The 27,836-nt window shown below is 44.0% G+C and overlaps 1 protein-coding gene and 1 long non-coding RNA gene across 21 annotated transcripts in view, besides 2 other annotated features; one reads left to right on the top strand and one right to left on the bottom strand.

The window, feature by feature from the left end:
- The window catches only part of CCNY (cyclin Y), a 325,643-nt gene that overhangs the window by 233,836 nt on the left and 63,971 nt on the right, over positions 1 to 27,836 (bottom strand). For 4 of the 5 annotated variants that reach the window (NM_001282853.2, NM_145012.6, NM_001282854.2 and 1 more), the window contains exon 1: positions 1,625 to 2,323. The exons of the other annotated variant lie outside the window; for it this stretch is intronic. Coding sequence is in view for 2 of the 4 variants with exons in the window: in NM_145012.6 (NP_659449.3) it covers positions 1,625 to 1,778 (154 nt within the window). In the remaining 2 variants the exon portion in view is untranslated. Of the gene's footprint in view, positions 1 to 1,624; positions 2,324 to 27,836 lie in introns of those variants that run through there. 5 annotated transcript variants of the gene reach the window in all.
- Positions 1,958 to 2,697: a silencer, noted in NCBI's record as "silent region_2305". NCBI's record gives its function as "represses an Ori minimal core promoter by ATAC-STARR-seq in GM12878 lymphoblastoid cells {active_cell/tissue: GM12878}" and the evidence as "EXISTENCE:reporter gene assay evidence [ECO:0000049][PMID:35858748]".
- Positions 2,408 to 24,599, top strand: CCNY-AS1 (CCNY antisense RNA 1). 16 transcript variants are annotated; one of them, NR_186476.1, is made up of 6 exons: positions 2,408 to 2,612; positions 2,756 to 2,904; positions 17,162 to 17,279; positions 17,720 to 17,976; positions 22,423 to 22,512; positions 23,407 to 24,599. It is a non-coding gene; the product is annotated as a CCNY antisense RNA 1 (long non-coding RNA). The 16 variants fall into 16 exon arrangements; NR_186464.1 differs by lacking the exon at positions 2,756 to 2,904; NR_186475.1 differs by lacking the exon at positions 17,720 to 17,976.
- Positions 6,297 to 6,591: an enhancer, noted in NCBI's record as "tiled region #12265; K562 Activating DNase matched - State 5:Enh, and HepG2 Activating non-DNase unmatched - State 5:Enh". NCBI's record gives its function as "activates a minimal TATA promoter and a strong SV40 promoter by Sharpr-MPRA in K562 cells, with weaker activation in HepG2 cells {active_cell/tissue: HepG2 | K562}" and the evidence as "EXISTENCE:reporter gene assay evidence [ECO:0000049][PMID:27701403]".

The raw sequence follows: 27,836 nt of genomic DNA, 5'->3' as shown, positions 1-27,836 counted from the left end.
TAAGAAATGTAAATCTTCTTTTTTTTCTTTTTTGATCCATCATTCAAAACAAAGCCTCCGCTAGATACTGCACAACATAAAAAGGAAATTTACTGCACATCATAAAGAAGACATTATTTCCAAATGTTTTCGCCTGTCAACATAGTATAGGACTGGGTAATGGCTTTCTGTAATAAACTCATTCATTTATTCCTCCCTTTAAAGTACAATACTTACTGTTTATTATATGCTAGACTTTTCTTTCAGGTGCTAGAGGCTGTGAAAGTGATCAAGACCGATCTGGCCTTCATCCTTCTAGATGCCTTTAAATGCATAAATTTAAGAAGAAAGTATGGCTGTAGTTCAAAGACATCTAAGCGTATGTTTAAAATAATGGAAATCTAAAATAACAACACTAGACACGTCATATGGAACCATAATTTACTAAGCGCGTACTAGAAACCAGACGTTGTGTTACTCCCTTTATACATGGCACTCATTTAATAAAGATGCTCTCCTAAAAAGATTAAACTACCATTTAGAAGAAATTACACGAAGACAAACGAGAAAAATCTTTCCTTTAGCAAAGTTTAAATGTGGCCTTTCCACAGTGGAGAGAATCTTCCATCCTAAAGTGGACAGGAACGAATTATGAAGTTGTGTTCATTCATTCACACAAAAATTTCTTCATATTAGTTCAACCAGATTAACTATGAGAAGATGTTTGGGTTAAAAAAATCACCTTGTCATAAAAAGATACTTCCAATTTCAAATCTTTTCAGTTGAAAATTCTATAAACTATATTTTAAGCATGATGCATAAATATCCCTCTGTCGTTATCACTGAGCAACAGTGCTAATAAATATGTTGCCAAACCAATAAAATAAATAAAACATTACTGCGTGCAGTAATTAGTCTTAGCTTTTTTTCTTTTTGCAAACTCCAGACCAACCAAAAGTCACCTGAATAAATCAGAAATTCATAGGACTGCAATTCGGGCCCATGCAAAAACTGAGACTTAACCCAAAGGTGTCTGACAATCTTTTAAAGAGCATTCTCGGGAGAAGCTATTTGACTAATCCTGGAACCGCCACTCAAAAAAATCATTTTTTAAAAAAAACGGTAGAATGGGAACGGGGGAAGTGGAGTCCATTTGTAAGGTTCCGGGGAACTGACTCAACATGGTTCTCCAACTCGAGGTTGGAGACACCGGGATTCCAAAATGGGAATCCACTCACTTCGCTTTTATAGGACAAACGCGTGCACAACTTGGCTTCGGGCTGCATTCAGGTAGTGCCGGGAACCCCGAGCTCCCGGGCCGCCCCCACCCAGCTCTGGCCGCTCCATTAAGGACGAGGGCCGGCTCCTGTCACCTCGCGACCCACGCGCACACACCCGCCCTAGGCCCGCCGTGCTCGATGCCGCGGGCCTGCAAAGTTTCCGCGGCCGCTCACTTGGGGGTAACCAGCGAGGGGTACGCCCAGAGGCTGCGGGGCCCCGGGCGCCTAGGCTGCGCGGGCGAAGCCCCGGTTATGCACGGGTCGCCGAGACCGGCTGGGCAAGCAAGAGCAGCCGGGCCGCCCCGACGTTGGCTGTGCGACTGTTGCCGCGGGGGCGGGTAGGGGGCTCGGCGGGCCGCACTCACCGTCTATGTTCTCCCGGTCGCTGATGTGCTGCAGGTTGCAGCCCGTGTCCTCGCGGCTCAGGTCCGTGTCTGGCCGGTAGGACTCCAGCCGGGAGTGGGCATTCCTCCGGAGCTTGGGACTGGACGACACGCAGCACGAGGTAGTGTTCCCCATCTTCGGCGGCCCCCCGACTCCTGCTGCTATCCTGTTCTCCCAGTCCCCGGGAGCGGGGCGCGGGTGGACGCGGGGCGCGGGCGGCGGGGGCGTGTGGGGAGGCCCGCCCGCTCGCCGCCACGGGAGGGGGCGGAACGGCGGCCGGCCGCCGGGTCAGCAGCGGCGGCGGCGGCGGGGCCTCGCCATGGGCGGCGGCGGCGGCGGCGGCGACGAGCGGGCGACGGCCCCGGCTCCCCCTCGGCCGGCCTATCCGCGGCGGAGGAGCGCTCGGGTCCGCGCGACTGCGGCCGCCGCGCCTACCTCACCCCGCCGCGGCCATGGCGGGCGGCGCCGCGCAGGCCGCCTCCCCCCCGCGCTTCCCCAGTTGGTGTCCGCTTCCCCGGCGGCTGCGGCGACGGCGGCCGCCTCGGCAAGAGGTTCCGGTTCAAGCCGGGGGCACGCGTGTCCGCGCCGGACGGCGGGACTAGCCGACGAGCGGGCGGGCAGCGGGCGTGGGCGCAGCCCCCGGACTCCTCGCGGCGCGGTGCGGCGCGGCCAGGGAGGATGCTGGCGGCCCTCCCTCGCCAGCGGCGCCCGCCCTCGCCGCAGCCCCCGCCCCGCCCCGTCACCGCCCCTTCCCTCTGCCCTGGAAGCAGATCGGCGGCCGCGGGGAGGTTCGGGGCGGCGCAGCCCCGCGCGGTTGTGGGATCGCTCCCGGGGGCCGCTCCTCTCTCGGGCACTGGGGTCGCGGGAGACGTCGTCGGGAGCTCGGTTTCTGGAGGCCCTTCCCCACCCGGCCTCTGCCTCCTCCACTCCCCCGGGCTGGACGGAACGGGGCCCAGCGCGGGATGCGAGGTGCGTCCCCGGGGCCCGCAGCGGGCGGGAGCGCAGCCAGGGCCCGGTCGGGGACGCAGGCCCAGGGCGCTGAGGCTGCACCTGCCTCTCCGAAACCGGGCTGGCTCTTTTTGTCTTTTTATTTTTCTAATTTATTTTTTTAGAGGTATGATTTCGCTCTGTCGCCCAGGCTGGAGGGCAGTGGCGCAATCTCGGCTCACTGCAGCCTCGAACTCCTAGGCTGAAGCGATTCTCCCGCCTCAGCCTCCAAAGTAGCCGGTACTACAGGCGCGCGCCACCACGCCTGGCTAAGGTGTGTGTGTGTGTGTGTGTGTGTGTGTCTCCAAAGTAGCGAGGACTACGGGTGTGTGTGTGTGTGTGTGTCTCCAAAGTAGCGAGGACTACAGGCTCCCGCCACTACGCCAGGCTAAGGTAGGGTGTGTATGTGTGTTAACTTTTTGTAGAGATGGGATCTCCCTTTGTAACACGGGCGCCCGCCACTAAGCCAGGCTAAGGTGGTGAATGTGTGTGTGTGTGTGTGTTAACTTTTTGTAGAGATGGGATCTCGCTTCGTAACCCGGGCTGGTATCGAACTCCTGTCTTCAAGGAATCCTCCCGTCTGGACTCCTCCCATGGGATTACGGGCATGAGCCACGGCACCTGGCTATTTTTTTTTTCTAAGCATTTAAATAAGCTGGGGCTTGATTTGGGAGTTTTCTATTGTATTTTGAGCTTTGCCGAGGACTTGATAGTGACCTTGCTTTAAGCTGTGAAATAAATCTTGGGGTCCCAGAGCTATTTTAATATTGAATTCGCTGTGGAGTTGTTTTGAGTTCCTTGGAGGTTAACATGAGATAGAAAACTAAGTTAACACAACTCATCGACTGCCCTTGCTTTGCTTTGCTTTGCTTTTAGAATGCCATCGGGTTTTGTCATGTTGGGAACAAGTTAACTTAGGCCAGTTGACTAAGATCAAGGTATGTGAACATGCCTGGCTGGGAGAGAAGTAGAGTAAATGTTGGTTCGCATTCCCTCCCGACGCCCACAATGCCAGCCATCCCTGACTTTTCTTGCCTTTATTGGGAAGAATATAAGGTGGCAGAAACAAACTTCCCACCCTTTTTCCAAATATTTACTGAAGGAGTCTTGAGGAGAGTCTTGTGGGGTGGGGGGGTGGGGGTGGGAGCTGGGAATGTTTTTGAACTAGTTCTTGAAAAAAAAACTAGTACAATAGTACAACTGTCTTAATTTTATATATGAGGAAACTGAGGCCCAGAGATGAAATCATGCCTTGATTTATGCAGACCTCAGTACCTGTTCGTGACAAATCCAGTTACTAAAAGGTAAGAGAAGGAATAAGGGACTTGATATTTATCTAGCATCAGCAATGTGTGGACATCGTGTGAACGGCTTTATAAACATTTCATTTAATTCTCTACATCTAGCCATTTTTTAACCTGTGCTTTCCCTCCCTCTCAAAGTACTGTTTATACATTTATTAGTCCATATTTTAAACGCTCCATGCTCTCAACTGTATTAATGCTATTTGTTAGGATAAGTGGCAGATGTCCATGGAAAATAAGTGGCTGCAAAGTGGTAATGCTGACCAGATGAGAAAAGAAGTGTAAAAGGGAAGTTCTAAAGAATTAAAGCCCTGGAGAGGGTGGGTAGACAACAACAGTCCAAAATAGTGCTCTTCATTGAGGCTGTGTAGATTTTCCTGCTTCCTGGGAAAACTGGGGCATATTTACACTTGCATGTGTGTATTCAGATTGTCTGGGGCTATGGAGTTTGGGTCAGATTGCTGAACCCGTGGGAGAGAAGTTCCCTTGTTGTCTGTTGTTGTCTGTTCTGATTGCTGCTTTGTAATTTGGGCCACATATGAAAGTCAGCATCCAGTCATTGGACCATAGGTGTGTGGCATATCTACTCAGATGCATTAAGCTATTTTTATTTCATTATAAAATGTATAACATTTACATTCAAATTATGGTTTGAAGGGCTTAAGAGGAGAAAGAGACAGTGGCACTAAGGTGACAGCATGGCTGGCTGCATGCTTCCTGTCCAAGAAGGTCACTGGGCAGTGTTAACTGGGAAGAGCATCTGGAGGATGAGAGATCAGTGTAGCCACATACCCTTAACAAAGGGTGGTACAGCCTCTGGTCTGCCAGGATTTTTGTGCCCCGCCCCCCTCCCCCTCTTTCCCTATCTCCTCTTTGACATTTCCACCATATTCCCCTTAGGTATGTACCTGTTTGGACTTTAATTTAGAGTGTAACTTTTGGTCAAGAATCCTGGAGAGAAAAGACGGGTACTAAAGCCTCGCTAGTGATTTACCTGGGTGCCGACCCCCACAACTCATCCACCCTACATGCATACTTCAAACTCCTCCAGGCAGATACTCCCTGCCTGACACACAGTGACACTTTGGGAAAAATTGCAGAACAGTAACCAACTCTGAGCAGATAAATGTGATGTCAAAATGATAGTAATGAGAGATGTCGTTCGTTGAAAGCCTGCTAGCTGCCATGCACTATACTATTTCTTACATCTAAATCTGATTAAGTTATACCCCATTTTATAAATAGACACTTTGATAAGTAAACCTATCTAAGATCAAAATACTGAGAAATGTCCTAATTGGGGATTTGAACCTGGTTCTAATTCCAAAGTCCAAGCTACATCCACCCCAACCTCCTACCTCCTATCTCCAAGACTTTGTGAGTAAAAAAACAAGTGTCACTTCTCTCCTTCTCTTTTTTCTGTCCTAAAGGAAGCTGGGAGCTAACCACTTAGGACTAGTACTAATCTTTCAGAGAAAGGGATGAGGGGAGCCTTGTTATTTCTGTGGGGTTCAGCTCTCAGACCAGAGTAAGACAGGCAACAAGGTTGAGGAGTAGCCATATGCAGAAATAACCTGTGTATCTAGCCACAGGATCTCCAACACTGTGTCACTCGGGAATCAAAATACAGAGACAGTTCCTCAATAGAGTGTGGATCTAGCCCAGAATGTGGACAAGGGGAGTGGAGAAGGGGAGAGGTACACACTGAGCATTGTAACAAGGCCTGTCCTCAAGCTTGAGGAGGATTAGGAAGATGGCTTGAGTCTGGGAGTAGGAGGCTGCAGTGAGCTATGATTGTACCACTGTACCCCAGCCTAGGTGACAGAGTGAGACCCTGTCTCTTAAAAGAAAAAAAAAATTGACCTGGATCTACTCATACCCACCCTGGTCTTTGAGCAGAAAGAATCATTTGGGAATTATTTTGTCTCATCTTTCTCCATGATCACTGTTGAAGAATTTGGTCACTGTAACCAGGTAAATATAAAACTCAGGTGGGCCGGGCGCGGTGGTTCACACCTGTAATCCCAGCAGTTTGGGAGGCTGAGGTGAGTGGATCACGAGGTCAGGAGATCAAGACCATCCTGGCTAACACAGTGAAACCCTGTCTCTATTAAAAATACAAAAAATTAGCCAGGCGTGGTGGTGGGCGCCTATAGCTCCAGCTGCTCGGGAGGCTGAGGCAGGAGAATGGTGTGAACCCGGGAGGTGGAGGTTGCAGTGAGCCGAGATCGTGCCACTGCACTCCAGCCTGGGTGACAGAGCAAGACTCCGTCTCAAAAAAAACTCAGATGAACTATAGCTAAGTCAGTGCTCTTGACACTTTTTTAGCAATAGTAGCTTTGTTTCTCACAGAAAAAACAAAATTTTCTGTGGAACCACACTATTTAAAACATAAGCAATATTAGTATCAACTTGTATAATTTATAGATCTACTGATAAAAACAATCAAGAATAGTCTACCTTAATTGAATCAGGAGGAGATAACTGCAGTCTTACATCAGCCATACTCGTATCCATGAAATATGAGTCAGTCATTTGCACAACTCCCTGAGTCACCTTCTGGAACACAGAAAACACTGAGCCAAGTTAGCCCAGGACCTGAACCTTTTGTGGAAAGGAAAATCTGTAGTGTCTCCTCAGAGTATGGCTGCCCTTTCACCTGGTAGTCAGTTTCTCATGACGGTTACTCGAGCATTTATAAGGCAGTTGTGAAATAACCAAGACATTCTGTGTGTTGTGCTACTGATGCTCCTCCTGTCACCGACCTCCTCTCCAAATGAGGCCTGCCTTTTGTCCTTGGTAGTAGGCAGTCCACAGTGTAACCAGCTACAGGGGAAGTATTTACTTTGATAGCCACTTGACCTTGATCAAGTCAGGTGACTCATTTCTGGATAACATTTTTGAGAGTATACTGAGCCAGGCACCTTGAGGATACGAAAGTGGATTATAGTTTCCATTCTGGAGAAACTCACAGTCCAGTAAGTTAAACAATCACAAGAACAAGTTTCCAGCAATGAGAGTGATTACAGCCACTGAGTGGTGAAATCTGAGAAATGCAAAGCCTGCCGCCTATAAATACCTACATTTATCGCCTGGGCATATACCTAAAATTCCACCATGAGAAATATATTTATATGAAATTAGAAACTACCCAGAAATTGTGCGTCCAAATAAAAATTCCCACAAGAAATAAGGATGGCTAATAGTTTTAAGTAGTAGTGTCAAGTCTTTTGGACCAGAGTAACTGCCAGGGACGTTGTGTTGAGGATTCTGAGGTCATGTTCCAGCTTAGCCGAGAAGGGAGCCACCATGAGGGAACGAGTGAGGGAGGGTAGCACTTGTGCCCCATATTTTTTCCTAAGTAAATCATTTGTTGATGGAATGCATGATGAAACAGGGACAGCCAGGGTCTCTGGCATCTGGGAGAAAGCCCACTTGGAAACTGATTTATCTACCTCACCACTGCAAGTTCACCATTTGTCCCCAGACTAAATGGCCTTAGGAAGCCCAGGCTCTGTCTTGTCGAACTCTACCTTCTTTATCCTTCCATACTTTTCAAGAAGAGAAATGGTATATATATGTGGGATCCTTGAGAACTAGGATGTACCTGTGAGCAGGCAAAGTGTAGCATCTAGCAGGGTCAGGCATAAGTTGGAAGTGAGAGAGGTGGCTACTGTGCTCCCCAATGGCTGTTCTCCCATCTCCCATAGTTTCAAGGCCTGTTTTGTGAGGAACAGCAGTATGCCCAGCTCAAAGATGACAGCTGGCCACAGGACTAAGTCTGGCCAATAAGATGTGAGTGGACGCTTCCAGAAAAGCTCTCTAAAGAGGCTACCTCTAGCCAGGCGCAGTGGCTCACGCCTGTAATCCTAGCACTTTGGGAGGCCAAGGCAGTGGATCACCTGAGGTCGAGAGTTCAAGACCAGCCTGGCCAACATGGCAAAACCCCGTCTCTACTAAACATACAAAAATTAGCCGGGCATGGCCGTGCCGCATGCCTGTAATCCCAGCTACTCAGGAGGCTGAGGAGGGAGAACTGCTTGAACCCAGGAGGTGGAGGTTTGCAGTGAGCTGAGATGTTGCCACTGCACTCCAGCCTGCACGACAGGAGCGAGCCTCCATCTCAAAAAAAAAAAAAAAATAAAAGCTGCCTCTTCTCTGCTTCTTGGAGTATGGTCAGGATAGCTGGAATTCTAGCATCCAGTTTTGAATGCCAAGTGACCTTGAAGATAGAAGCCATGAACTAAGATAATGTCCCTGTGTAAGCTTCTTTTACATGAGAGAAATAAACTGTGTGTATAAATCATTGTTATTTTGAATTCCCAAGTTGTATGCAGGCAAATGTAATCCCGATCTAGCCAGGAATTGGTATTATTCATTGATAAGAGCTTCATATATTCATGTTGACAGTTTTCCTTGATTGGCCCCCAGATGATAGGTATTGTGACCAAGACCTGTGGGGCTATCATGTGTACTTGGCTCCCTATAGGAGAATCCAGGATGGAATGGAATGATACAGTAGGCAGCCTCTGGAGCCAAGATACGGTATAGGTAGGAAAAAGAAATGATTCACCCAAGAGGCAGATTAGGCCCATGAAAATTAGGATTGTCAGATGCATTACTTTAATACAGCACTTCTTCAGTATTCCCAGAACTGTAGCTAATGGTTCCTCTGAATAGGAAGCTCCTTGAATATACCCTGGCAAGAAATCTTTCTATCCAAGGTGACTGGCATTGGGAGGGGATTTATTGAGTGTCTCCCTCGAGCCAGGCACTTTCACATACCTTAATCTTAGTTAACTGGCTTCACTTCAGACCCTGTCCCTAACAGGACAAAACCCAACAGCATTTTGAAAGCAAAACAGGGATAGTTGATGAGTTGTATTAACGTACTTGTCTCTGTCTCACGTTAGTAACCTCCAAGGAACTCAAAACGCACTGCAGCTATAATTCGACATTAAAATAGCCCTGGGCCCCCCAGGAGCAGCTCAATAGACCCTACTGAAGCAGGCGGTCCTGTCCCTCCCCTGCTTAAAATCTGTCAGTAGCTTCTCATTGTTTTTAACTAAAAACCCAGCCCACCTGACAGTCAGGTTGGCCTGCTCGCCAGGCTTTCTCCCCAGCTGCTCAAACCTGCTCACAACTCCCTCTGTGTCTGCCACTCTGGCCTCTCACTTTACTCCTGTGACCTCGTCCCTCTGAGCACCATTCCTCCCCACCTCTGCATGTCTTTAATCTGACTTAAGCTTCAAGGCCTGGCACAAACAATGCTTTTCCTTTGTCCTTCATACTGGAGATCATAAACTCGCATAGATTCTCTCTGAATAAATAAATATTTTCCATGCCAGTTAGCATTTTTTTAAAACTATAATGACTGCAAAATATATTGTATTAGGTGTACTCTAACTTATTTAACCTCTCCCCAAAGAATGGACATTTCATTTGTTTCTTTTTCAGGATGATAAAAAACAGTTACGGGATGAAAAAATTTTTTTTTATTTTTTATTTTTAGTAGAGATGGGGTTTCACCATGTTAGCCAGGATGATCTCGATCTCCTGACCTTGTGATCCACCCATCTGGGCCTCCCAAAGTGCTGGGATTACAGGCATGAGCCACTGCACCCGGCCGGGGATGAACATTTTTATATGCTAATCTTTGTCAGCATCTGCTCATTTCTATAAAAGGAATCATTAGAATTGGAATTCCTAGGTCATTTTGACCAAAAAGGAACATTTTTAAATCTCTTAATATTGCCATATGACATCTTAGAAAGTTTACATCATTTTACACAAATAATTGTTTCCTTATCGATGTTCCAAACCTAGAGAACTTTTGGTCATTCTGTGATCTGTAATTGGAGAAATTTCCATTGCTCTAGCAGCATTTTATACATACTTATCAAGATGTATTATGATTTATACACATTTATCAAGATGTATTATGTTTTACTTGCATTTCTCCAAGTAAGCTCTGAAGTGGAAAACAGAACTTGTTTTACTCTTTGTAGCACAGTACTGAGAACAGTAACACCTAACAGGCCCTTTCTAGGTAAATCTGCAGAAACAGTAATTGTCTCAATCTCAGTTTCCCTGTGGTAGACCAAAATAAAGCTTTGCATACCTAACCTAGGGAAGCTGCATACAGTTGGAGAGCTGGATTCAACTAAACCTGGCCTGACAGCTCTTCAACATGTTTTTCTTTTCCAAGTTCCACATTGCTCACTGTGTCCTTTTAACACTCCTGTTTTTTATTTTATCCATCACACGAAGTTGTAGTTGGTTCTGCCTGCAGTGTTTCTCCATGATGTAATATAACCTCATTATATACACTCAGGAGCCTGAGAAATGAGTATCACAAACCACAGAGTCTTCTTGTTGCTTAGTTACTATCCTGCATTTCCTGGAGACTTTACCTTGGCAAAGTATATGATGCTACGTTTTAATGAATGTTGATTGGTCACTGTATGATAAATGCCAGGAAAAACAATGAATGATAAAAAGAAGTGTAAATCCCACTCTTCTGCCTATATCCCAGCTCCATTTTCACGTCTTTTGGTATCAGCCCCAGGATTTGGGGTCTTCTGTTTGAAAATGAGATCAGTTCCGTAACATCTGTATAGCTTTGCTTGCTATGGTACTGGGCTGGAAAGAGGCAGGTCAAAGCGAGTGCCCCCCTCACTGGTGTGCCCTGAGGATGCAGAGGCCCTCTTTGCCTGGTGATAACACCTTCAATGCCCGTTAGGGGGCCCAAAATTGCCAGTTTATTATCCCTTTGGGACTGATGCCTTAAAATCTCATTTTGTCTTTGAGAAGTGGTATTTGGAATATTCACACATCAAAGTGTTATCGTTCTCTGCTAGCACAGTACCAGCTAGTTTATCTTAGCCAGCTGGCTTACCTCTCAAGGCACTAAAGGAACGGAAAAACACAGGGCAATCTCTGTAAGCCTCGTTCCTTCACTTGGTAACCTCTGAAAAGCTAGAGAGAAAGGACCAGTGAGAGAACAGGATCAGCTCTTGCTGGGGGTCCAGCCAGGAGCCACCATGGAGGGCCTGGAGCACTTAGAGGAAAACATGGGGACATCAGGTATGCAGGAGATCAGGCAAAAAACAGTAAAGTCAGCTTAGGAAAGACTCGTACCTCTCACCCCCACTGCCTCAACCTCCTCCAAAGTGTAGAGTTCATAGCTTTTCCTTGGGAAGCTTCTGTGTATACAGTGCTCAACAGAAGAGAGGAACAGGATTTAGGTTACTATCTTCCATACCCTAAAAGTGAACATTGTAATATTGCAAATACAGTAGCAGAAGGAAAGCACTTCTCAGGAAGTAAAAATACATCTACTCCTGCTAACAGTTTTCTCCATTCACAAAATATTACTGATTTTTTTAAAATTTGGAAAGAATATTAATATTCATAGATGTTAGATTAGTTGGGCAAAATATGCTAAAAATTGCCATTTAATTTATAATAGTGAAAAACAATGCAACCTAAATGCCCATGAATGATAACTAATTACATACAGTGGACTACAATGGAATTCTATGAAGTCATAAAAATAAGGATGTACATCTGTATTTATTGTTATAGAAAGAAAGCCACGAAATATTGTTGAGAGAGAAAGCAGATTGCAAAACTGAATATATATGCAAAGAGATGTTTTTAGGGATATTCACTGTTAAACAGTGATTAACTTAGTTGACTTTTTTTTCCTCTGTTCCTTCTTTTTTCTTTTTTACTTTAAATATTTATCTTTTTTAAAAGAAATAATACATTTCCTCCCTCCAAAAAAGAATAGCCTAGCGAAATATTTTTACTTCAAATGCTTTTCCCCTTATTAATCTTTGTATAAACCATTGTGGTTTGCTAAAACAAGGAAGGTTGTAGAGTAGAATCCATGCCCACGTTAGAACAAAATCCAGGCAGGAAGACACTTCATACGTGGTTATAAGACCAGGAGGACGAGGAGACAAAGGGAAGCAATGGTGTTTGTTTGTTTGTTTGTTTGTTTTAAGAGACAGTGTCACTCTGTCACCCAGGTTGGAGTACAGTGGCACCATCATAGCTCAGTGCAGCCTCCAACCCCTGGGTTCCAGCGATCCTCCCACCTAAGCCTCTCTAGTATCTGGGACTACCGGTATGCACCACCACATCCAGCCAATTTTTAATTTTTCTTTTTTTGAGACAGGGTCTTGCTATGTTGCCCAGGCTGGTCTCAAACTCCTAGGCTCAAGCAAACCTCCCAAAGCACTGGGATTACACGTGTGAGCCACCACACCCGGCCTAGAAGCAATGGTTCTGATCCAGGAAAAGTGCAGCCTGGAAACTCAGCAATCTGTACAGAATCCTAGCTCTTAGACTAAAAGGCATCAACTGGTACAATTTCTTGCCTTTGGGCACTGAACGTGTTAGCTTCTATTTTATTTAACTTACTGTAAAATTATATTAGCTATGCTGCCACTTAAGCCAAGATGCTTTCTGTCTAGTCACTTCGGTTCCATCCTTTTGAGCGCCCTGCCGTTTCATTGCCTCTCCTTTCTCATTCCTCTCCCCAAGGCTGTACTTTGAGTAACTGTATGTGCATTTTCCTGTGCCTTTTCATTATTAAAACACTGTAAAAGGTAATGTCTCCAAAATGCAAACCATAGTCTTCTCCATTGAAAAATATTTTCCAGGCCAGGCACTCCACTGTGCCACTGCACTCCACCTGGATGACAGAGTGAGACTCTGTCTCAAAAAAAAAACAAAAAACTCATTAAACTGTAAAATGGGCGCATTTTATTTTATGTAAACTGTATCTCAGTAAAGTTTATTTATTTATTTTTGAGACAAAGTCTTGCCCTGTTGCCTAGGTTAAAGTGCAGTGGCATAATCATGGCTCCCTGCAGCCTTGAACTCCTGGGCTCAAGCGATCCTCCTACCTCAGCCTCCTCCCAAGTATTTGGGACCACGGGCATGTGCCACCATGCCCAGCTAATTTTTTTTTAAGAGATGGCGTCTTGCTATGTTGCCCAGGCTGGTCTCGAACTTCTGACCACAAGAGATCCTCCTGTCTTGGCTTCCCAAAGTTTTGGGATTACAGGCATGAACCACCAGGCCTGACCAAAGTTGATTTTAAAAAATGAAAGGGGGGCCAAGCGCAGTGACTCAACCCTTATAATCCCAGCACTTTGGGAGGCCGAGGCGGGTGGATCACCTGAGATAGGGAGTTCAAGACCAGCCTGATCAACATGGAGAAACTCTGTCTCTACTAAAAAATACAAAATTAGCTGGGAGTGGTGGCGCATGCCTGTAATCCCAGCTACTCGGGAGGCCTCAGCTTGAACCCTGTAGGCAGAGGCTGCAGTGAGCTGAGATCACGCCATTGCACTCCAGCCTGAGCAACAAGAGCGAAACTCTGTCTCAAAAAAAAAAAAAAAAAGGGTCTGTGCTTGGTGGCTCACACCTGCAATCCCAGCACTTTGGGAGGCCAAGGTGGGTGAATCACCTGAGGTCAGGAGTTCGAGACCAGCCTGGCCAACGTGGTGAAACCCCTCTCTACTAAAAATAAAAAAATTAGCCAGGTGTGATGGCGCACGCCTGTAGTCCCAGCTACTCAGGAGGCTGAGGCACAAGAATTGCTTGAACCTAGGAGGCAGAGGTTGCAGTGAGCCGAGATCATGCCACTGCATTCCAGCCTGGGTGACAGAGTGAGACTCCATCTCAAAAAACAACAAAAATGAAAGGGAAATAAGAGTCATTACCAATATAATTAGGTTTAAATTTTTAGTTAAAATCAAATTTTAACTGGGATTGCCAAAAATGTCCTTAACTTCATATCTCCAAATAAAATGTCTGCAGTTAATTTATGTTGTTTATACAGCTAGCTAATTCTCTATATTTTTATAGTATGTTGACACTTAAAATTTCAATCTCTTCTAGTGGTTCCATGAGTGGGACTGAGGGGATGATGGGTGTTCTCATTATAGCCTTCAGAAGGCTGCCTATATATAAGTGTGCACAAATAACTATTATTCAGAGAATTAGAATCATCACAAAATATCCTTTATGAAGGATAAATATAGGCTAATTTATCCTTTATGACTGTTAAATATAGGCTAATGTTTCTTTTATTCTTCAGACCCATTTCAACTTTATAGAAAAAAAAGTATGCACAAAAGCAGCACTCTATAATTAAAAAAAATTCCTTATTGGTCTTTTGGATTTTGGTTCTGCATAAGTATGAGTTTCTCATCAGGCCTCTCTAGACTACTAAAGCCTAAAGTGATGCTTCCCCCATCTCAGCTCTTAGAGGAATTACTGGGTGTCTTGTTTATTTGGCAATTCCGTGCTTACAAACTCTTTTCAATGAGATCTTCAGCTCCTTGAGACCACAGTAGATACCTACGTATTTGTCGGTGTAATTTTGTTGTGTTGATTTACTGAATTCAAAGGGTTTGTACAAATACTTTGTTTACAGGGTTTCATTACAAATCCAAATAAGCTCATATGCTTAGTAATTCCAAAAATGTTATAGGTATTCAGATTAGCATTGCTCATTCATGCCATTTAATTTACAGAGCTCAGCTGCAGTAATTTTCTCCAGTGGATGATGTAAGGAAGGCATTGGCAGAGGAGTAAGAGACTTGGCTTCAGAGTGGGCAGTAATAGGGCTAAATCTGGTTTTACAAAGCAGGTACTGTAAAGCTCTCATTGCCTTTCTGAGGACAAGGCTTTGAGCTATGAGTGCCAGGGTCGTCTGTCTAAGTGGAGGCTTCTTAAAGGAATTGAGCCTCGTTTCCTGGGTTTGAGGTGTATTCTTTTTCACATTCCCTTTGTACACCAAATATATTTAGTATTTATTATCTTTGAAGTTTAGACCTTTGGAATTTTTTTTTTTTTTTGAGGCAAAGTCTCACTGTAGCCCAGGCTGGAGTGCAGTGGTGTGATCTCAGCTCATTGCAACCTCTGCCTCCTAGGTTCAAGCGATTCTCCTATATCAGCCTCCTGAGTAGCGAGGACTACAGGCACGTGCCCACCATGCCCTGCTAATTTTTGTATTTTTAGTAGAGACAGGGTTTCACCATGTTGGCCAGGCTGGTCTCAAACTCCTGACCTCAGGTGATCTGCCTTCCCTGGCCTCCGGACATGCTGGGATTACAGGTGGGAGCCACCACGCCAGGCCACAGTTTGATGAGTTTTGAGAAAGTAATATACGCATGTAACCACCATCACCACAATCAAGATCTAGAACATTTCCATCACCCCAAAATTCCCTGGTACTCGTCCCTGGTCCCAGGCAAGCCCTGATCTGTTTTCTGTCACTGTGGATCAGATTTGTCTTTTCTAGAGTCTCATAAAAATGTGATCTTATAAAATGTATAGACTCTTGTGTGTAAGGTTTCTTTTCCTCAGCATAATGTTTTTAGACTTGTCTATGTTGCATGAATGAGTGGTTCATTTCTGTTTATCACTGAGTATTTTTCCAGTGTATGTATATACCACAATTTGTTTATATACCACAAATGTTGATGGACATTTAGGCTTTGTCCAGTTTTGTCTATTATGAATAAAGCCATTATGAACATCTATGTACAAGTTTTTGTGTGGACATGTTTTCTCTTGGGTAAATATCTAGGAGTAAGACTACTGGGTTGTATGCTAAGTGTATGTTTAATTTTAAAAGAAATGGCAGCCGAGTGCGGTGGCTCATGCCTGTAATCTTAGCAATTTGGGAGGCCGAGGCGGGCAGATCACCTGAGGTCAGGAGTTCGAGACCAGCCTGGCCAACATGACGAAACCCTGTGTCTACTAAAAATACAAAAAAAATTTGCCACGCATGGTGGCACACACCTGTAATCCCGCTACTTGGGAGGCTAAGGCAGGAGAATCGCTTGAACCTGGGAGGTGGAGGTGAGACTGAGCCAAGCTCACACCACTGTACTCCAGCCTGAGCGACAGAGCGAGACTCCATCTCAAAAAAAATAAAAAATGGCCAAACTGTTTTCCAAAGTCCTGGTACCATCTTACATCCTACCGGTAAAGTTATGAGAGTTGTAGTTGCCCTACATTCTCACCAATACTTGCTATTATCAGTCTTTTTAATTTTCACCATCCTAATGGATACGTAGTGGTATCTCACTGTGGTTTTACTTTGCATTTCCCTGATGGCTAATGATGTTGACATATTTTTGTGTGCATGTTGGATACTAATATATCTTTGTAAAGTGCCTATTCAGTGTCTTTTCCAATTTAGTTGGGTTGCTAAAAAGTCTTCATATATTCCAGATACAATACCTTTGGCAGGTATGTAGATATGTGTTGTGTGACTATTTTCTCCCAGTCTGTGACTTGTCTTCATTTTGTTAGCATTGTCTTTTGAAGAGCAGAAGTCTTTAACTTTGTAAAAGTCTAATTTTTTGCTATCTTCTTTTATAGCTCTTGTCTTTTTTTGTTTTTTTGTGTGTGTGTATTCAATTATCTAAGAACTCTTTGACTCCCTTCAGATCATGTAAATGTTCTCCTGTTTTATTTTAGAAATTTTAATTTTACCTTTTTTTTTTTTTTTGAGACAGAGTCTTGCTCTGTCACCCAGGCTGGAGTGTAGTGACGTGATCTCAGCTCACCGCAGCCTCTGCCTCCCAGGTTCCAGCAATTCTGCCTCAGCTTCCCAAGTAGCTGGGACTACAGGAGGCAAGCACTGCGATGCCCAGCTAATTTTTGTATTTTTAGTAGAGACAGGGTTTCACCATGTTGGCCAGTATGGTCTTGATCTCCTGACCTGGTGATCCACCCGCTTCGTTCTCCCATAGTGCTGGGATTACAGGCGTGAGCCACCGCACCCATCCAAGTTTTACCTTTTAAGCTTAGGTACATGATCCAATTTGAGGTGAATTTTGTGTATGAGTAAGTTAATAATCAATGTTCATTTTTTCCCATATGGATATCCAGTTTTTCCGGTACCATTTGTTGAAAAGACTGTCTTTCCCCTATTGACTTACTGTGGCCACTTTGTCAAAAATTACTTGCCCATAGACATGCGGGTTCATTTATTTTGTTCCATTGATCCAAATGTTGATCCTTTAATAATAATGTAGCTTTATAGTCAGTCTTGAAATTTGATAGTTTGAATATTCCAACTTTGTTGTTCTTTTTCAAAAATTTTTTGCATTCTAAGTCCTTTGTGTTTTTATATAAATTTTAGAATAAGTTATGTAAGTGCCTGCTGGGATTTTCTTTTTTTTGAGACAGGGTCTTACTATGTCACCCAGACTGAAGTGCAGTGGCATGATCACAGGTCATTGCATCCTCAACCACCCAGACTCAAGCAATCCTCCTGTCTCAGCCTTCCAAGTAACTGAGACCACAGGTGCGTACCACCACACCTGGCTATTTTGCTGCTGTTTGTTTTTGTAGAGATGGGGTTTCACCACATTGCCCAGGCTGATCTTGAATTCCTGGGCTCAAGCAGTCTTCCCACCTCAGCCTCCAAAAGTGCTGGGATTATAGGTGTGAGCCATCGTGCCCCACCCCTGCTGGGATTTCAGTTAAGATTACATTGTATCTGTGGAACAATTTGGGAAAAATGGTCATCATCATATTTAGTCTTGTAGTTCATAGACATAGTATATCTCCATTTATTTGCGTCTTTAATTTTCAGCATAACATTCAGCAATGTTTTTATAGTTTTAATTGTATAGGTGCCTTGCATGTATTATGTTAAATTTATCCCTAACTAGTCCATGTTTTTGATACTATAGTAAATGGTGTTTGTGTGTGTGTGTGTGTATTTTTTTTTTTTTTTTTTAGACAAAGCCTCACTCTGTCACCCAGACTGGAGTGCAGTGGTATAATCATAGCTCACTACAGCCTTGACCTCCTGAGCTCAAGCAGTCCTCCTGTCTCAGCCTCCCAAGTAGCTGGGATGACAGTGTGCACCACCACACCCAGCTAATTTTTTTTTTTTTGGTCTTGCTGTGTTGCCCGGGCTGGACTCAAGTGATCTTCCCTTCTCAGCCTCTCAAAGTGCTGGAATTACAGGCATGAGCCACCGTGCCCAGCCAGAGGTATTGTTTTTGATACTATAGTAAATATTTTATTTAAATTTCCAGGTGGTTATTGCTAGTATGCAGAAAATATTTTTTTGCATTAACCTATGCTAAAGTCACTTACTATTTTGATTTGCCTTTCATAAAGATTCCTTAAATGTTTCTACATACACAATCATGTCATCTGCAGATAGACAGTTTTATTTCTTCTTTTCAATCTGTATGGTTTTCTTTGCCTTTTTCTTGCCTATTGTACTGGCTAGGACTTCCAGTGTAATGTTTAATAGAAATCCTGAGACTGGACATCCTTGCCTTATTTTCAATCTGAGGAGAAAGCATTCAGTTGTTCATCATTAACAGACAATGTTAGCTGAAGGTTTTTCAGAGCTTGTGTACTCTACCAGGATGAAGAAGGTCCCTTCTATTTCCAGTTTGCTAAGAGTTTTAAAATTGTGAATGGATGGCGAATTTTGTTATTTTTCTGCATCTAATAAGAGAATCATATATGGTTTTTCTCCTTTGTTCTGTTAATATGGTAGGTATGTTGATTTTTTTAGTGTTAAAACAAGCTTGCATTCTTGGGATAAACCCCACTTAGTCATGATGCATTATCCTTGTTATATATTGCTGAATTCAGTTTGCCAAAAATTTAACTAAGGATGTTTGCATCTGTATTCAGTGAGGTATACTGTATTCAGTGAGGTATTCCTTTCAATGTCATTGTCTGGGCTCAGACAATGACTAGAGAAGTCATCTTTCTTTGTTTTTAGAATGAGTTTGTGTGTGTTTGTTATTATTTTTCCTTAAATATTTGATAGAATTTACTGCTGAAGCCACCTCAGTCTGAAGTTTCTTTGCAGGAAGTTTTAATTCATAATTAAATTTCCTTAGCATATATAGGGCTTTTTTCTTTTTTCTTTTTTTGAGACAGAGTGTCACAGTGTCTCCCGGGCTGGAGTGCAATGGCGCGATCTCAGCTTACTGCAGCCTTTGCCTCCCGGGTTCAAGCAATTCTCCTGCCTCAACCTCCCAAGTAGCTGGGATCACAGGCGCCTACCACCATGCCCAGCTAATTTTTTGTATTTTCAGTAGAGACAGGGTTTCACTATGTTGGCCAGGCTGGTCCCAAACTCCTGAGATGAGGATAATTTTTTGTATTTTTAGTAGAGACGGGGTTTCACTATGTTGGCCTGGCTGGTCTCAAACTCCTGACCTCGTAATTCACCCACCTCGGCCTCCCAAAGTGCTGGGATTACAAGTGTGAGCCACCGTGCCTGGCCTTCTTTCTAGTTTCTTGAATCACTATGGTTAATCTGTGGCATTCAACCAATTTGTCCATTTTATCTATGCCATTGAATTTATTTACATAATTATAATCTTTTTTTGTTTTAATGTCTGCAAGATCTGTGGTGATATCTATTTCATTCCTAATGTTGGTAATTTTTTCTTTTCCTGCTTGCTCTTATTGTTTGTTTGTTTGTTTGTTTGTTTTGAGATAGGTTCTCATTCTGTCACCCAGACCAGGCTGGAATACAGTAGCGATCATAACTCACTCAGCCCCAAACTCCTGGTCTCAGGCAGTCCTCCTGCCTCAGCGTTTCAAATTGTTGGGATTACAGGCATGAGCCACTGTGTTCAGCCTCTTTTAATTCCTATATGTATTAGCCAGTTGAGGTGGCTTGCTTGAACCCAAGAGTTCTGGGCAACACAGCAAGACCTCATCTCTACAAATAATTTTAAAAATTAGCTGGGGCATGGTGGCGCACACCTCTGGTCTCAGCTACTTGAGAGGCTGAGACAGGTGGATCACTTGAGCCCAGGCAGTCAAGGCTTCGGTGAGCCGTGATCCCGCCACTGCACTCCGGCCCAGGTGACACTATGAGACTCTGTCTCAAAAAAATAAACTATAGAAAATCTGAGTAGCCCTATATGTAGTAAGGAAATTTAATTATCAGTTAAACTGTCACCTGGGTAACAGAGTGAGACCACGTCTCAAGGGAAGGGGAGGGGAGGGGAGGGTCTTGTATTTATTATTTCCTTCCTTTTACTTGGTTTTACTTTGGTTTAATTTGGTTTACATTGGTTTAATTTGTTCTTCTTTTACTATTTTTTTTTTACTGAATCATCATTATTGTTCTACCACTCGAATCACCGCATTGCTGTTGCTAAATGACCAATAGACCAACAGATCCTTCCATAGAAACAAAAAAAAGCCCTTGCTTTTCAATATTACCAAAGGGAAACATATAGTCAGAACTGCAAGAAAACTGCCTTGTGATCCGGCTTCTGTCACATTTTAGTTTACAATACAGGAGCATAAAGTAGCTACTCAACTACCTCGAAAATAAGAGAATCATTTACCTTTCTGTATATAACCTAATTAAAACCATGTCAGATCCAGCAAAACTGATTTTCATCTCTCCTCAGTAGATATAGGAGTATATATTGATATTTCTACTTCATGACTAGATAGGGGACTAAATTAAAATTCGCTACTCAGTTCTCAGTTGTAAGGCCCACAGTTGCACATGGGTAGGTGGGTAGTTGCACATGCACAGAGTTGGTGGTCACAACTCTGCTTTCTTGCCCTTCTGCTTAACATGGAGCTATTTAATCTTATTTATTTATTTATTTATTTATTTATTTAGAAATAGGGTCTGCTCTGTCACCTTGGCTGGAGTGCAGTGGCACAATCATGGCTCACTGCAGCCTAGAACTCCTGGGCTCAAGTGATGTTCCCACCTTAGCCTCCTGAGTAGCTGGGACTATAGACACACACAACCACGCTCTGCCAATTTTGAAATTTTTTGTAGAAATGAGGTCTCCCTATGTTGCCCAGGCTGGTCTTGAACTCCTGGCCTCAAGCAGTCCTCCCACCTCAGCCTCCCAAGTGCTAGGATTACAGGCAAGAGCCACAGCGCCAGGCTGGAACTATGTAAGATAGCACTTAGCCCTGCATGTATGTGTTACTAACAATGGTTGTGTAGATCACTCCTCCAAAGGGAAAGTCTCTCTAGATGGGTTTTTGCCCCAATTAAGCAATAGCTTCCTCCAAACGGTGCTCACCTATCCATTGACTGCGATATTTGAAGACAAAGTGAGTCTTCACTCACCATCACCATTCCCCACGTCCCCTTTCCCTGGGAGCGCACACACTTAGGAGGGCAGTGCTGCTTCCTCCACAGCAGTGACAGCTGGCCAGGATTTATGAAATGTCTCTCAAGGAAATGTGCTCTCTTCCATGCTCAGAGATGCCACGTGGTCACAGTGCAGTCTTCATGCAGTTGTAGCTTAGACTTCCAGATTCAAAGGTCAGAAACCAGCTTGGAATTTTCCTGGTCCTAACTCAAACCTGGCATAAGTCAAAGTTTAAATCCAACAGGTTCCAAAGGAAATCAGATTAAACACATGTGCTGCTTGGTCATGCAAGGACCCTGGAGTAGAAAAGTAGGTATTGCCGTCTTGGTCATGAAAGCCACAACATCACCAGCAAGAGGACAGGCACTTAGATCTGTTCACTGCTGTGCCCTCAACTCCTGGAATAGGACCTGGTGCAGAGTGTGATCAGAAAGTATTTATTGAGTTTCAGGTACAGTGGCTCATGCCTGTAATCCTAACACATTGGAAGACCAAGGTGGGAGGATCACTTGAGCCCAGGAGTTTGAGACCAGCCTGGGTGACACAGGGAGACCCTATCTCTATAAAAAATAAACTTAAAAAAAAATTGGGCCCTGCACAATGGTTCACGCCTGTAATCCCAGCTCTTTGGGAAACTGAAGCGGATGGATCATCTGAGGTCAGGAATTCGAGACCAGCCTGGCCAACATGGTGAAACCCCCATCTCTACTAAAAATAGAAAAATTAGCCGGGCGTGGTGGCGGGCACCTGTAATCCCAGCTACTCGGGAGGCTGAGGCAGGAGAATCACTTGAACCCAAGAGGTGGAGGTTGCAGTGAGGCGAGATTGCACCACTGCACTCCAGCCTGGGCAACAGAGCGAGACTTGGTCTACACGCTTTGTAATCTAAAACATTCTCTACCAATACCTCAATCAGTGAATTCTTGCTTTATTGATACATTCTAGTATTCAGTTGTGATTTTAATATGCTATTTTGGTACTTTCTGCTTTCAGTTTTCATTGCTGTGGCTATTGCCTTAAACAGAAACAAAAAACTAAAACAATTTTACAACCATCCAAAAGAGGCTTGGAAACTTTTTTTTGGCTGGATATCCATAGCACAATTTAATTCAGTAAACATAAACAGTTAAAATTATTCCAGTACACAACCATGTTTTAAAAAAGAGATTACACCCAATTTTGGCAACAACACCCAGGAAATAAGCATTCTTTTACATTTGGTTCAAACTTTCTGAATGGCAGTTGTGCAACACTTGTTGTGAAAAACTTTAGAATATTATAAACATGTTAATCCTGTATTTCCATTTCTGTGAATTCATCCAAAAGAAATAACCATGGATATGGGTAGAGACAGAGCCATATGGAATGCACACTGCAGTGGTGAACACATGGCCCAGCTCTGCCATCAAGGAGAAGGTGAGAACATGGGGGAAGATTTTATCGAAGTTTCTTTTCTGGGGCATATGCTCAGGTTAAACACCTGCTCTGTATCTCTAGCTTCTGACTCCTACCCCTGGCCAGCTCTGTTACTCTAGTACACTGCTAGGCAGGCAGAGTATGGCCAAAGTATTCACAACAGTGCATCACTAAATCAACTGGGATCCACACAATGGAATATCCTAATGCATCATTAAAAATCACATTGTAAAAGAAGATTTTATAACAGAAAAAAATGCACTGTATATGATACATTTTTAAAATGTTACTTATGCCAGTCACAATAAAAGACAATTACACTTATATGGGATAGAGTAGTCAATATTATAGAGACAGAAGGTAGAAATGGGTCTGGGTGGAAATTAGAATGAGATGTTCTTAGCATTCCAGTTTTACAAGATGAAAAGAGTAACGGAGACAGATGGCAGTGGTGGTTGCATGACATTATGAATGTACATAATTAAAAATGGGTAAGATGGCACAGTGAGATACCATCTCACACCAGTCAAAATGGCTATTACTAAAAAGTCAAAAAAATAACAGATGCTGGGGAGCTTGTAGAGAAAAGGGAATGCTTATACACTGCTAGTGGCAGTGTAAGTTAGTCCAGCCACTGTGGCAATTCCTCAAAGAACTTAGAACTATCATTTGACCCAGCAATCCCATTACTGGGTATATACCCAAAGGAATATAAATTGTTCTGCCTTAAAGACACATGCATGTGATTGTTCATTGCAGCACTCTTTATAATAACAAAGACATGGAATCAACCTAAATGCTCATCAACAGTAGACTGGATAAAGAAAATGTGGTTCATATACACCATGGAATACTATGCAGCCATAAAAAAGAATGAGATTATTTCCTTTGCAGGAACATGAATGGAGCTGGAGGCCATCATCCTTAGTGAACTAACACAGGAGCAGAAAACCAAATACCACATGTTCTCATGTGTAAGTGGGAGCTAAATGATGAGAACACATGGACACAAAGAGGGGAACAACAGACACTGAAGCCTCCTTGAGGGAGGAGGGTAAGAGGAAGGAGAAGATCAGAAAAGATAACTACCAGGTACTATGGTAGCTTAGTACCTGGGTGATGAAATAATCTGTACACCCAACCCTCATGACAGAAGTTTACCTGTGTAACAAACCTGCACATGTATCCCTGAAACTAAAAGTTTTTTAAAAAGTTATTTAATATATATATATTTTTTTGAGACGGAGTTTTGCTCTTGTTGCCCAGGCTGGAGTGCGGTGGCGCAATTTCGGCTCACCACAACCTCCGCCTCCCAGGTTCAAGCTATTCCCCTGCCTCAGCCTCCCTAGTAGCTGGGATTACAGGCTTGTGCCACCACGCCGGCTAATTTTGTATTTTTTGTAGAGACGGGGTTTCTCCATGTTGGTCAGGCTGGTCTCGAACTCCCGACCTCAGGTGATCCACCCCCCTCGGCCTCCCAAAGTGCTAGGATTACAGGCATGAGCCACTGCGCCCGGCAAAAAGTTATTTAATATTAATGGGACAATACTCATTGCAAGAATCAGACTTCAATTGCTAGCATAAGTAAATGACAGGCAGGAGATATTGAAAATGCAATCTTATAGACATTCAAGGAGAGGACGCAGGACATTTCTGTGTCATAAATGTACTATGGAAAATAAAAATGAGAAAAATGGAAATAAAATACAAGAAAAGGTTATGATAAATTTCATATTATTTTACCACAATAAAAAAATTTTAATAAATTATAAATGGTGTGATATGTTTTGCCTGTGTTCCACCCAAATCTCATCTTGAATTAGAGCTCCCACAATTCCCACGTGTTGTGGCTGGGACCCTGTGGGAGATAATTGAATCATGGGGGCAGTTTACCCCATACTGTTCTCTTGGTGGTGAATAAGTCTCATGAGAGTTGATGGTTTGATAAGGGGTTTCCCCTTTTGCTTGGCTCTCATTCTCTCTTGACTGCCACCATGTAAGATGTGCCTTTTGCCTTCCACCATGATTGTGAAGCCTCCCAGCCACATGGAACTGTGAGTCCATTAAACCTTTTTCTTTACAAATTACCCAGTCTCGAGTATGTCTTTATCAGCAGTGAGAGAACAGACTAATATGAGTGTGATCTAATTAACATAAAGGGAGAATGAGGACTATTGACACCAAAATATGAGATTGGGATTACAGCTCGTTTTTATTTTCTTTTTCTGTTTATCTTTCCAGTTTTCTAAGATGAATGTTTCATAATCAGAAAACAAAATTAAATGTTTCCAGCCCCACAAAAAATAACCAGTATTTTACTTTTTTTTTTTTTTTTTTTTTTTCCGAGATGAACTCTCACTTTATCTCCCAGGCTAGAGTGCAGTGGTGCAATCACGACTCACTGCAACCTCCGCCTCCCAGGCTGAAGTGATCCTCCCACCTCAGCCTCCTGAGTAGCTGAGACTGCAGGAATGCACCACCACGCCAGGCTAGTTTTTTTATCTTTTTTGGTAGAGACGGTGTTTCAACATGTTGCCCAGGCTGGTCTCAAACTCCTGGACTCAAGCAGTTCACCTGCCTCAGCCTCCCAAAGTGTTGGGATTACAGGCATGAGCCACCGTGCCCAGCCATTTACTTTTAATCTTAGTAATTTATACAGAACCAGTTGTCTGGTGTTGTGGTCTCTCCCTACTCTGAGTTGACTGGATGGTTGTGTAGATTGGGCTTGGGCACACTGGGTGGAGCCCAGAGCAAGGTGAACCACCTGGAGGCTCCCGTGCCTCAATCCTGCAGCAGGCACAGGCACGGGACTTTGTTGACAGTGAAAAAGTGCTTGTTGCAGAGAGCCTGAAACAGACGCAAACTCGGGGAAGTGACAGTTACATGCGCAAAGAGACCTGAAGGAATCTGTAAGTATCACCAGCTAACAAGCGACACAGCTCTACCTGTACATCCTACTTCAGTGCCTTAATATAAAGAAAACAAATACTTCACAATCAAATAATTTGCTGCAATGTAAAGAAATTTGTGAAAATGGTATATACTATGTGGAATCTATATGTCCCCAGAGATGAGACTGGAAAGACAGTTATCATGAAACCAGTCTTTGGCCTTTGGCGGTTTCCAGTTTTTCCACACTTTCAAACACGAGTCCACGTGAGCCAGCCGCAGCCATTTCAGGATCATGTGAAAGGGATCATCATCCCTGGACTCTAGGAAATTGAGGTGTGGGAAAGGTGAAGGAACTGGCCCTAGGGTGTTGTATGCAAGTTGGAAGCAAAGAGACAGCTAAGACCACATCTCCTGATTCCCAGTCCAAGGCACTTTTAATGACCTACAATGCCTGGAAGGAAAGGTGGTAAGAAATGATAGGAAAAAGCCTAAGAGCTAAGCTAAAGGAAAGAGGCTGGGAGCACTGACTCATGCCTGTAATCCTGGCATTTTAGGAGGCAAGGCAGGAGGACGGCTTGAGCCTAGGAGTTTGAGGCTACAGAGAGCCATGATCACACCACTGAACTCCAGCATGGGCAACAGAACAAGACCCCAACTCTAAAAAAAAAAAAAAAAAAAAAGTAAAAAGGAATACTCTATTGGGATAATGATAAGGGTAATTTTCCCATTTCCTCAGCATAGTGCCCTCTGAAGATGTGTTCTACAAGATGGGGGGCAGAGGCACATACCCCAGGATGAGATGGTTTACTAGGAGGTAAAATAAAACCTTCTATGGTTCATTTTGTCGCAAAACGGAGAATGACTTGGTACCCTCACATCGTACTACATTAGACAGCCCATGGATCAGGAATGATCCATGTGGTGCCCTGAATTGGGTGTGAGGGCACCATAGTGAGAAGGATGTAGGGCCCACATGCATTAGTTTGCACAGACAGGGGTTTACAAGTACCTAATTAACATTTTTTTTTTTTTTTTTTTTTTTTTTGTGACACAGAGTCTCACTCTGTTGCCCAGGCTGGAGTGCAGTGGCGCAATCTCGGCTCACTGCAAGCTCCGCCTCCTGGGCTCAAGCGATTCTCCTGCCTCAGCATCCCAAGTAGCTGGGACTACAGGTGCCCACCACCACACCCGGCTAATTTTGTTTTTGTGTTTTTAGTAAAGACAGGGTTTCACCGTGTTAGCTAGGACGGTCTTGATCTCCTGACCTCGTGATCCGCCTGCCTCAGCGTCCCAAAGGGCTGGGATTACAGGTGTGAGCCACCGCGACCAGCCAATATGAATTATCTTACATAGCTTTACTAAACCCTTAGTCAAGTGCAAGGTAAACATAATGGCAATATAATTGATTCTAACAAGAAGGAACCAAACAAAAAAATTTTTTTTAGACAGAGTCTTGCTCTGTTGCCCAGGCTGGAGTGCAGTGGCATAATCACAGCTCACTGTGGCCACAAACTCCTGAGTTCAAGCCATCGTCCCACCTCAACCTCTCAAGTAGCTGGGACCACAGGCACACACTACTATGCTTGGCTAATTTTTAAATTTTTTGTAGAGAGGGGGTGTCCCTACCTTGCCCAGGCTGGTTTTGAACTCCTGTGCTTAAGCAATCCTCCCACCTTAACCTGCCAAATTGTTGGGATTACAGGCGTGAGCCACCACACTCAGCCAAAAACTTTTTTTTGGGGGGGTGGGGGGGACGGGGTCTCCCTCTGTTGCCCAGACTGGAGTGCAGTGGCACAATCTTGGATCACTGCAGCCTCAAACTCCCTGAGCTCAAGTGATCCTCCCACCTCAGCCTCCCAAGTAGCTGGGACTAAAGGCACATGCCACTATGCCTGGCTAATTTTTGTATTTTTTGGAGAGACAGGGTCTGGCCATTTTGCCCACACTGGTATTGAACTCCTGGGCTCAGGTGATCCACCCGCCTCAGCCTCCCAAAGTGCTAGGATTACAGGCATGGGCCACTGTGCTCAACCAAAAATAATTTTTTAATTATCAAGAACATTTGAAATATAAAATTATATCCTGTATTTTTTTGTTGTTGTTGTTAATTGAGACAGGGTCTTGCTCTGTGGCCCAGGCTGGAGTGCAGTGGTACAATCATAGCTCACTGCAGCCTCGAACTCCTGGGCTCCAAGGATCCTCCTGCCTCAGCCTCTCAAGTAGCTGGGACTACAGGAATGCACCACCGTGTCTAGCTAACTTTAATTATTTTGCTTTTGTAGAGACAGGATCTGGCTATGTTGACCAGCCTGGTTTCCAACTCCTGGCCTCAAGCAATCCTCCTGCCTCAGCCTCCCAAAGTGTTGGGATGATAGGCATGAGTCACTGTGCCTTCCAATCCTCTTGTTTTGTTTTGTTTTGTTTTGTTTTGT

This window comes from Homo sapiens, chromosome 10, assembly GCF_000001405.40.
Source record: "Homo sapiens chromosome 10, GRCh38.p14 Primary Assembly".
NCBI lineage: Eukaryota > Metazoa > Chordata > Mammalia > Primates > Hominidae > Homo > Homo sapiens.
This window is presented reverse-complemented; position numbering and strand designations above follow the sequence as displayed.